This window comes from Homo sapiens, chromosome 2, assembly GCF_000001405.40.
Source record: "Homo sapiens chromosome 2, GRCh38.p14 Primary Assembly".
Taxonomy (NCBI): Eukaryota; Metazoa; Chordata; class Mammalia; order Primates; family Hominidae; genus Homo; species Homo sapiens.
Window position 1 is genome coordinate 127,350,378 of NC_000002.12, and position 10,712 is coordinate 127,361,089.

The 10,712-nt window shown below is 39.8% G+C and overlaps 1 protein-coding gene across 5 annotated transcripts in view, besides 2 other annotated features; it reads right to left on the minus strand.

The window, feature by feature from the left end:
• MAP3K2 (mitogen-activated protein kinase kinase kinase 2) overlaps positions 1-10,712 on the minus strand; it is an 89,798-nt gene that overhangs the window by 51,710 nt on the left and 27,376 nt on the right. The window lies entirely within an intron of this gene.
• Positions 1,610-2,109: an enhancer, noted in NCBI's record as "H3K4me1 hESC enhancer chr2:128109563-128110062 (GRCh37/hg19 assembly coordinates)". NCBI's record gives its function as "activates a minimal SCP1, AML or CMV promoter by ChIP-STARR-seq in naive H9 embryonic stem cells {active_cell/tissue: H9 hESC(naive)}" and the evidence as "EXISTENCE:reporter gene assay evidence [ECO:0000049][PMID:30033119]".
• Positions 3,629-4,207: an enhancer, noted in NCBI's record as "NANOG-H3K27ac hESC enhancer chr2:128111582-128112160 (GRCh37/hg19 assembly coordinates)". NCBI's record gives its function as "activates a minimal SCP1, AML or CMV promoter by ChIP-STARR-seq in naive H9 embryonic stem cells {active_cell/tissue: H9 hESC(naive)}" and the evidence as "EXISTENCE:reporter gene assay evidence [ECO:0000049][PMID:30033119]".

The following is a 10,712-nucleotide window of genomic DNA, read 5'->3' on the forward strand; positions in this document are numbered from 1 at the left end:
GATCACTTCAGCCCAGGGGTTTGTATCCCACCAGGGCGACATGGCAAGATCCCATCTCCTGAAACAAAAACAAAAACAAAAAAAAAAAAAAAAAGAAAGAAGAAAACCATGAGTCCATAAAAACAAAGATAAACAAATAAATCAACAATGGGAGGAAGAGAAAGCTTTTTCTTACAGTAGAATGTCAACTAATGAATGTAATAAAATTAGAAAGACCACCATTCAGCAATCATCAATAGAAATAATTAAGTAATAATTCAACCAAGAAAAATCAACAAATGCTAAAGCTAGTGGATGAAAAGTGTGATGAGGAATGAGTTACTTAGTTTCAACACACCATCTCCAAAAAATAATCATTTCCACTCATTTTTCAAAGGAAAAAAAAGTACCCTTTCTAGTGTAGAAAGCCAGCAGACAAAAAAAAAAGCTTAAGTCAAGTGATCCATGTTAATTAAGATCATCAGTAACAGGCAAATTAAAATCATGTACCTAACTAGCCTGACTTCAATTTTTAAAAATTAAAAAAAAGTGCCAACTGGTAAGGTAACACTGAGAAGAATACCACATCACCTCTGTGATACTGCTACCAAAAATTGATAACCTGAATTGATTCATAGGGAAGCATTAGACAAATCTCAATTGAGAAATAGTCTAAGAATTAACTGCTCTGTAAACCTCAAAACTGTCGAAATCATGAAAGTCAAGGAAACGTTATGGCTGTTCTAGATTGAAATACATCAAAAAGACACAACAACTAAATGCAAATTATAATCCTGATTGAATTATTTTCCTAAAATGAGCATTATTGGGACTACTGGCAAAACTTGAATGGGTTCTGTGGATTAGATGATATAATCCACAGGTTCTATCAATGCTAACCTCCTCATTTTGACAGTTGGATTCTGGATATGTAGAAAAATATCCTTATTGATAGCAATTACAAACTAAAATATTGTGGGGTGATGGGACCTCATGTTAGCAAGTTACTCTCAAATAATCAAAACAAATTTCTTTATACTGGTTTTGCAACTTCTGGAACTTATTTCAGAAGAAAAAAATTGTAAAAACAAAAACAAAGTGAAAAAAATCTATTCTTCTCCAGTCTTATCAAGAAGCATCTCTATTTTTCCAGTTGCTCAAAACAAAAATTTTGAGATAGGCTTGACCCCTCTCATGCTCTCACCTTATATTCCAATCCATTAGCAAATCCCATTAGCTTTCCCTTAAAAATATATTTCACTACTCCAAGCCATAATCCTCTCTTGCATGGATTACTGAAATAGTTTCATATCTGATCAACTTGATTTTACTCCAAACTCTAATATAACTCATTTCCTATACAACAATAAGGATCACCCTTTTAAAAAGTAAGTCAGAGAATGTTAATGCTCTCTCTCTGTCAGAAAGTACTGGTAGTTTCTCTACTTTGAATAAATTCCAAAGTCCTTGCCATGGCTTACTTCATATAATCTAGACTTCCCTACTTCTTGTTTTTTTGTGTTTTTTTTTTCTTTTTTGAGACAGGGTCTTGCTTTGTCACCCAGGCTAGAGCGCAGTGGCACAATCATGGCTCGCTGCAGCCTTGACCTCTTGGGCTCAAGTGATACTCCCACCTCAGCCACCCAAGTAGCTGGTACTACAGGTACGCACCACCATGCCCAGCTAATTTTTGTATTTTCGGTAGAGACACGGTTTTGCTATGTTGCCCAGTCTGGTCTTGAACTTCTGGGCACAAGCAATCCACCTGCCTTGGCCTCCTAAAGTGCTGCGATTACAGCCGTGAGCCACCATGCCTGGCCAACTTCCCTACTTTTGGTGTTATATTCTACTACAGTAAAGGTTAGATACAGAACACTGCTACTTCCGCCAAGACTAACACAATGGATGATCCCATCCCCACCACTGCAAAAAAAGAAAAGAAAAGAGAAGGTTGTTTAAATACCGGTAGGCTAAAAACATAAATATCCATTACAGCTTCCATGGCAATGCACTCTCACGAGTCTCCATTCTTCACCCCACTTCCCACATCTCACCTGAGTCTGCTTCAGAATCTCTTCTTCCTTGTTTGGCTATTAAATGCCAGTGTCATTTGAAGTTTCATTCTTGCACTACTACTCTTTTCATTCTATTGAGTCTCTTGAAGAAACATCACCTATAAACTAACCCTCAAATCTGTATCTCCAATCTAGACAGAGCTAAGCTTCAAATTCCAAATTATATAAAACTAGTTGTTAGATATTTTAATCCTTGGCCACATGCTTAGGATGGCAAAGCAGTAAGTTAAAAAAGAGTGCATGCTTCCCTCTCCCTCTCCCTCCTCCTCCCCCTCCCTCCCTCTCCCTCTCTTTCCACGGTCTCCCTCTGATGCCGAGCCGAAGCTGGACTGTACTGCTGCCATCTCGGCTCACTGCAACCTCCCTGCCTGATTCTCCTGCCTCAGCCTGCCGAGTGCCTGCGATTGCAGGTGCGCGCCGCCATGCCTGACTGGTTTTCGTATTTTTTTGGTGGAGACGCGGTTTCGCTGTGTTGGCTGGGCTGGTCTCCAGCTCCTAACCTCAAGTGATCCGCCAGCCTCGGCCTCCCAAGGTGCCGGGATTGCAGATGGAGTCTCGTTCACTCAGTGCTCAATGGTGCCCAGGCTGGAGTGCAGTGGCGTGATCTCGGCTGGCTACAACCTCCACCTCCCAGCCGCCTGCCTTGGCCTCCCAAAGTGCCGAGATTGCAGCCTCTGCCCAGCCGCCACCCCGTCTGGGAAGTGAGGAGCGTCTCTGCCTGGCCGCCCATCGTCTGGGATGTGAGGAGCCCCTCTGCCTGGCTGCCCAGTCTGGAAAGTGAGGAGCGTCTCTGTCCTGCCGCCATCCCATCTAGGAAGTGACGAGCGTCTCTGCCCGGCCGCCCATCGTCTGAGATGTGGGGAGGGCCTCTGCCCCGCCGCCCCGTCTGGGATGTGAGGAGCGCCTCCGCCCGGCCGTGACCCCGTCTGCGAGGTGAGGAGCATCTCCGCCCGGCCGCCCCATCTGAGAAGTGAGGAGACCCTCCGCCCGGCAGCCGCCCCGTCTGAGAAGTGAGGAGCCCCTCCGCCCAGCAGCCGTCCTGTCTGAGAAGTGAGGAGCCCCTCCGCCCGGCAGCCGCCCCGTCTGGGAAGTGAGGAGTGTCTCCGTCCAGCAGCTGCCCCGTCCGGGAGGGAGGTGGGGGGGGTCAGCCCCCCGCCTGGCCAGCCGCCCCGTCCGGGAGGGAGGTGGGGGGGGTCAAACCCCGGCCCGGCCAGCCACCCCGTCCGGGAGGTGAGGGGCGCCTCTGCCCGGCCGCCCCTACTGGGAAGTGAGGAGCCCCTCTGCCCGGCCACCACCCCGTCTGGGAGGTGTACCCAACAGCTCATTGAGAACGGGCCATGATGACAATGGCAGTTTTGTGGAATAGAAAAGGGGGAAAGGTGGGGAAAAGATTGAGAAATCGGATGGTTGCTGTGTCTGTGTAGAAAGAAGTAGACATGGGAGACTTTTCATTTTGTTCTGTACTAAGAAAAATTCTTCTGCCTTGGGATCCTGTTGATCTATGACCTTACCCCCAACCCTGTGCTCTCTGAAACATGTGCTGTGTCCACTCAGGGTTAAATGGATTAAGGGCGGTACAAGATGTGCTTTGTTAAACAGATGCTTGAAGGCAACAGGCTCGTTAAGAGTCATCACCACTCCCTAATCTCAAGTACCCAGGGACACAAACACTGTGGAAGGCCGCAGGGTCCTCTGCCTAGGAAAACCAGAGACCTTTGTTCACTTGTTTATCTGCTGACCTTCCCTCCACTATTGTCCTATGACCCTGCCAAATACCCCTCTGCGAGAAACACCCAAGAATGATCAATAAAAAAAAAAAAAGAAAGAAATATCATTTGAAAAAAAAAAAAAAAAGAGTGCATGCTGACTACTTTGAGTCTTCAGAATGATTATACGATAAAAGTAAATCCCTTATTTGGTAACCCCTTGTATTTATTACAAACAGCCAAATATACTTCCTGATTTAGTGAGATACTGAGATGAGGCTCTGGCAATGACACCCTGATTTTATCTCTTTCACATATAAGATTTCATCATGATTGTCAGACTGTCAGACTGGAAAACCTCAAAATTCACAGGACACTGGGTAGTGTACTCAGAAGGGTGTGGTCTCAAAAGTAGAGAAAAATTATGCTAAACTAAATGCTACCCTGGTTCTACCTAATGAAACTTAAGAGCAAGACGCAAAGGATCTGTTTCCAAGTAATTTAACTGCTTCCCAAAACATACAAGAATGCAAAAATGTCCAGTGCCTAACAAGGTAGAATTCATAATATATGGTATTGAATCAAAAAGTACCAAATATGAAGAGAGGCAGGAAAATGTGAGCCAGTCAACTAATAATAACAGACCCAGATATGACACAAATGATAGAATTAGTACAGTTGTCACAGCTATATTCCATATGTTCAAGCAGATAGAGGGAAGATGCTAAGTGGAGGCATGGAAGATGTTTTTTAAATGAAATTTTTACAGATAAAAAATACAATGCCTAAGATGAAAATTACACTGAATGAAATAACAGTAAATCAGACATCGGAGAAAAAGATTAGTAAACACAATAATGATGACAAAAAATAAAACCAATAAACAACTACAAAAAATGAACAGAGCATAAGCAGACACTAAGACAAACTGAAAGGAGCCTAATATACATTCAACTGAAGTCCCCAAATGACAGCAGGGCAAGATAGAATGTATACTTGAAGAAATGCCATAACTGTTTGGAATTTGACAGAAACTATAAACCCATAGATCCAAAACTCTTTATGAACCCAAGGCACAAAAAACTTGAAAAACACTTTACCAAGATGCATCACAAACTGCTTAAAAAACACATTATACACACAGAAATAGCAATAGGATGACAGCAGACTTTCTCATCAGGAATAATGCAAACGAGAAGACAGAAAACATCATCATTAAAGTAAAGGTATACCTGAGATATTGCGGGTTCAGTTACAGATGATGGCAATAAGGCAAACATCATAATAAAGTGAATTTTTTTGTTTCCCAATGCATATAAAAGTTATGTTTACAATGTGTAGTCTATTAAGTGTGCAATGGCATTATGTCTAAAAAACAATGTACATGCCTTAATTAAAAATTATTTATTGCTAAAAGAATGTTAAAGAACACCTGAGCCTTCAGAGTTGTAATCTTTCTGCCACTAGAGGGCCTCCATGTTGATGGCTCCTGACTGATAAGGGTGGTGGTGGTTGCTGAAGGTTGGGGTGACTAGGGCAATTTCTTAAAATAAGACAACAGTTTTATTTAGTTTAAAACAAACAATAAGTTTGCCGTGTCAATTGACTCTTCCTTTCATGAAAAATTTTACTCTAGCATTCGATGCTGTTTGATAAAATTTTACCCACCATAGAACTTTTTCCAAAATAGGAATCAAGCCTCCCAAACCCTTCATCGACTGAGTTGCTTATTGCTGCTTTACCAGTAAGTTTATGTAACATTCTAAATCTTTTGTTGTCATTTCAACAATGTTCGCAGCATCTTCACCAGGAGTAGATTCCATCTCAAGAAGCCACTTTGTTTGCTTGTCCATAAGAAGCAACTTCTCATCCATCCAAGTTTTATGAGATTGCAGCAATTCAGTCACATCTTCAGGCTCCACTTGTAATTCTAGTTCTCCTGCTATTTCCATCAAATCTGTAGCTACTTCCTCCTCTGAAGTCTTGAACCCCTTCAAAGTTGTCCATCAGGGCTGGAATGAGCTTCTTTCAAACTCCTGTTAATGTTTATTTTTTTACCTCCTCCCATGAATCACCAATGTTCTTAATGGCACCTAGAATGATGAATCCTTTCCAGAAGGTTTTCAATTTACTTTGATCCGATTGATCAGAACAATCTGATCACTGTCTATGGCAGCTATAGCCTTACAAAATGCATTTCTTTTTCTTTTTTTAGTTTCGCAGTGCATATAAAGTTATGTTTACAATATACTGTAGTCTACTAAGTGTGCAATGGCATTATGGCTAAAAACTGTATATACTTTAATTTAAAAATTATTTATTGCTAAAAAAAATGCTTAAAAACATGTGAGCCTGGCTTAGGCTAATTTTTTATTAGCCTAATTTTTTATTTTTATTTTTAAAGACAGTGTATCACTGTTGCTCAGGCTGGTTGCAAACTCTTGGCTTCAGGTGATCCTCCCACTTTGGCCTCCCAAAGTGTTGAGATTACAGGCATGTAATTTTTCAATTATGGTGCTGGGAAAATTGGACTATCATATGCAGAAGAATGAAACTGAATCATTATGTCTCACCGTATACAAAAATCAACTCCAGATGGATTAAGGACCTAAATGTAAGATGTGAAATTATGAAATTACGAAAAGAAAACTAGGGAAAACTCTTTTGGACACTGGTCTAGGCAAAGAATTTGTGACTAAAACCTCAAAAGCACAGGCAACAAAAACAAAAATAGACAGACGGGACTTAGTTGAACTAAAAAGCTTCTACACAAAAGAAATAATCAACAGAGTAAACAGACAACCTACAGAGTGGGAGAAAATATTTGCAAACTATACATCCAATGGGGACTAATATCCAGAATCTACAAGGAATTCAGACAACTTCACACACACAAAAATAAAATAATCATCCCATTAAAACATGGGCAAAGGACATGAACAGACATTTTTCAAAAGAAGTTTGACAAAAGAACGGCAAGATCTTTAAAAAACTAGAAAAGAATGCTAAGAGAAATCAAAGACCTATAAATTGAACAAAATGCCATGTTCGGACCAGAAGACTCAATGTTGTTACAAAATTCAATGAAATCTTAAATATCCTGGCAGCCAATACTGTGAAAACTGAAAAGCTGATTGTAAAATTTACATTGACAGTCTGGGCAACATAGCAAGAACTCATACCTACAAAAAAATTAAAATTATCAGCTGGGCATGGTGCCATGTTCCTGTAGTCCCAACTACTAAGGAAGGTGAAGCAGGAGGATCCCTGAGCCCAGGAGTTCGAGGCTGCAGTGAGCAATGATTGCGCCACTGTACTCCAGCCTGGGCAAGGGAGGGAGACCCTGTTGAATACAGAAGAATAGAACAGAACAGAATAGGAAATGTGAAGGACCTAGAAATTCTAAAACAAGTTTGAAAAAGAAGAAAGAGAACTTAAATTATGTAACTTCAAGACTTATTATAAAGCTATAATAATCAAGACAGTGTGTTATTGGCATACAGGTAGATAAATGGTTAATGAAACAGATTATCTAGAAACAGACCCATATATACATGACCAGTTAATTTTTTTTAAAGGGCTAAGGCTATTCAATGGGGAAAGGATAATCTTTTCTATACACTGTGGTACAACAGCTGGATACCTCAGCTGTCACCTCATAACAGACAAAAACTAACTCAGAATAGATCATAAACCTACATATAAGGACTAAAACTATAAAACTTGTAGAAAAAAATTATGGTGACCTTGACTTTGGCAAAGATTTCTTTGCATTTTTTAATGGTGTCTTTTGAAGAGCAAAAGTACAGTACATATCTTAAAAGAAAAAAATGCATTGAACTTCAAAAATTAAAAATGTTTACCCTTCAAAAAACACCATTAAAAAAATAAAAACACAAGCCACAGACTACGAGAAAAAATGTACTAAACACATACCTGACAAAATATTTGTATCCAGAATATCTAAAGTACTCTTACAACCCAACAAAAAAAGACAAACATTAAGATTAGGACATACACTTCACCAAAAAGACATTAAGGATGGCAAATAAAGCCATGGTCAATAAGATAAGATGCTCAATATCATTAGTCATCATGGAAATGCAAACCAAAACTACAAGATTACAAAAGACTAGCCATCCAAAGTGTTGGCAAGGATACCGTGCAACTAAAATGCTCATGCACTACTGTTGAGAATGTCAAATGGTACAACCGCTTTGGAAAACAGTTTGGCAGTTTCTCACAAAACTAAACATACTCCCATATGAACCAGTAATCATGCTTTGTATTTACCCAAATGAGTCAAAAACTTAGATCTACACAAAAACCTATGCATGAATTTTATTAGCAGCTTTATTCATAATGGCCAAAACTTGGAAGCAAGGTGTTCTTAAGAAAGTGAGCAGATAAAGTGTGGCATATCCATATGACGGAATATTAAGAACTATCAAGTCACAGAAAAGTCATGAAGGAATCTTTAATGCTTATTACTAAGTGAAAGAAGCCAATCTGAGGCTGGGCACAGTAACTGACACCTGTAATCTCAGCATTTTGGGAGGCCGAGGCAGGCAGATCACCTGAGGTCAGGAGTTTGAAACCAGCCCGGCCAATATGGCAAAACCCGTCTCTACTAAAAATACAAAAATTAGCCGGGCACGGTGGTGCATGCTTGTCCCAGCTACTTGACTGGCTGAGGCAGGAGAATCGCTTGAACCTGGAAGGCAGAGGTTGCAGTGAGCCAAGATTCCACCACTGCACTCCAGCCTGTCTCCAAAACAATAAAAAAAAAAAAAAATTTTTAAAAGGCTAGATACTATTGATTCCAACTATGTAACACTTCAGAAAAGGCAAAACTATGGAGACAGTAAAAAGATCAGTGGCTGCCAGGCATTCAGGAGGAGGGGAGCAGGGATGAACAGGTGGACCACAGAGGATTTTTAGGGCAGTGAAATCATTCTGTATGATATTGTAATAGCAGATATACATCACTATACTATACAACACTGTATCTGTCAAAACCCCCAGAATATACAACAGAGTTAATTCTAATGTAAATTATGGACTTTAGTTTACAATAATGCCTCATTATTTGCTCATCACCCATAACAAAGGTACGACACTAACGCAAGATGTTAATAACAGGGGAAACCAGGAGGGGAGTTAAGAGGATGAGAATATATATGGGAACTCCCTACTTTCCACTCAATTTTTCTATAAACCTAAAACTGCTCAAAAAAATAAACTTCCCTCCTTTTCACCTTCAAAAAGTGAAAGAAACAAAATGAGATTTGAAAAGACATCTCATCAACATCTGAAATGTTGGCAAGGATGTTGTACAACTAAAACATCATACATTGCATTGATGAGAGAGTGTCAAGCGGTACAATCACTTCAGAAATGTTCGACAATTTTTTACAAAGGTAAACATGCACCTACTGACATGGTTTAAATCTGTGTCTCCACCCAAATCTCATGTTGAAATGTAAGCCCCAATGCTGCAGCCTGGTGGGAGGTGACTGAATCATGAGGGTGGTTTCTAATGGTTTAGCACCATCCCTCTAGTGCTGCTCTCCTGGTGGTGTTCCTGAGATCTGGACGTTTAAAAGTGTGCGGCACCTCCCCCGTCTCTCTCTTCCTCCTGCTCTGGCCATGTGAAGTGCTGGCTCCCCCTTCGCCTTCTGCCATGATTTTAAGTTTCCTGAGGCCTCTTCAGAAGCTGAGCAGGTGCCAAAATCATGCTTCCTATAAAACCTGCAGAACTGTGAGCCAATTAAACCTCTTTTCTTTATAAATTATCTAGTCTTGGGTATTTCTTTATAGCAGTGCAAGAATGGACTAATACACCTACCATATGACCCACCCATTCAATGCCTACGTATTTACTCAAGAAAAATGAAAGCATATGTCCACATGAATATACTTGTACACAAATGTTCTTAGCAGATTTATTTGTAATAGCCCAAAAGTGGAAACCCAAATGTCCATCATCAGGTAAATGGTTAAACAAATTGTGGTACAGCCATACAGTAGAATAAATAATATTCAGCAATAAACAGAAATAAACTATTGATACATACAATAATACGGATGAATCTCAATTATGCTGAGTGAAAGAAGCTAGACTCTTCCCCACTTCAAAAACAGTACACACATACACTGCATGACCCCATTTATACACAATTCTAGAAAAGGTAAACTAATCTATGGTGACAGAAAGTAGATCACTGGTTTAAAAAAAAAAAAAAAAGCAGATCATTGGTTATCTAGGAACAACGGATAGAGGTAAGACAGTGACGAATTACAAAAGAGCCTGAACAAACTTTCAGAGATGATGAATATGTTCACTATCTTATTTATAACTACCAAAACTAGGGGTGACAGTTTGACAGTTATACACATATGTCAAAATTTGCCATAATTATATACTTCAAATGTGCAGTTTATTGTATGTTAATTATCTCAAGTTATTTTACAAAATTATTCTTTAATGCTACTAGCTCTGCAACTCTGATCATTGATTTTAGGCCAATTTATGAATCACACCACAAATCTCATTACTCTGCAGACATCTTTGCTTTTGATTTTTAAAAAATATATTACTTAAACTGGTGATTCCTTTGTTTGCCAGACCGTAAATGAACTGAGTTTTTAAAAAATGAAGTCAAATCTGTCGTCATTGGTTACATATATCCTAATTGCAAGTATTCAAAAATTCTGAAGTTAATTTCAAAGAAGTATTTCCCACATAACACCAGTCACCTCTGAGAAAAATTAGGTGGCTGCAGGTAAAAGGAAGAGAGGAGAGGGTTCTGAGACCTTTCACTGTGTATCCTTCCAAACATTTTGAACTTTGTACCCTATCATTTACTCAAAACCATATAAAATTCAAATTTAGGCAGGGCGCGGTGGCTCAAGCCCGTAATCCCAGCACTTTGGGAGGCAAAGGTGGGCA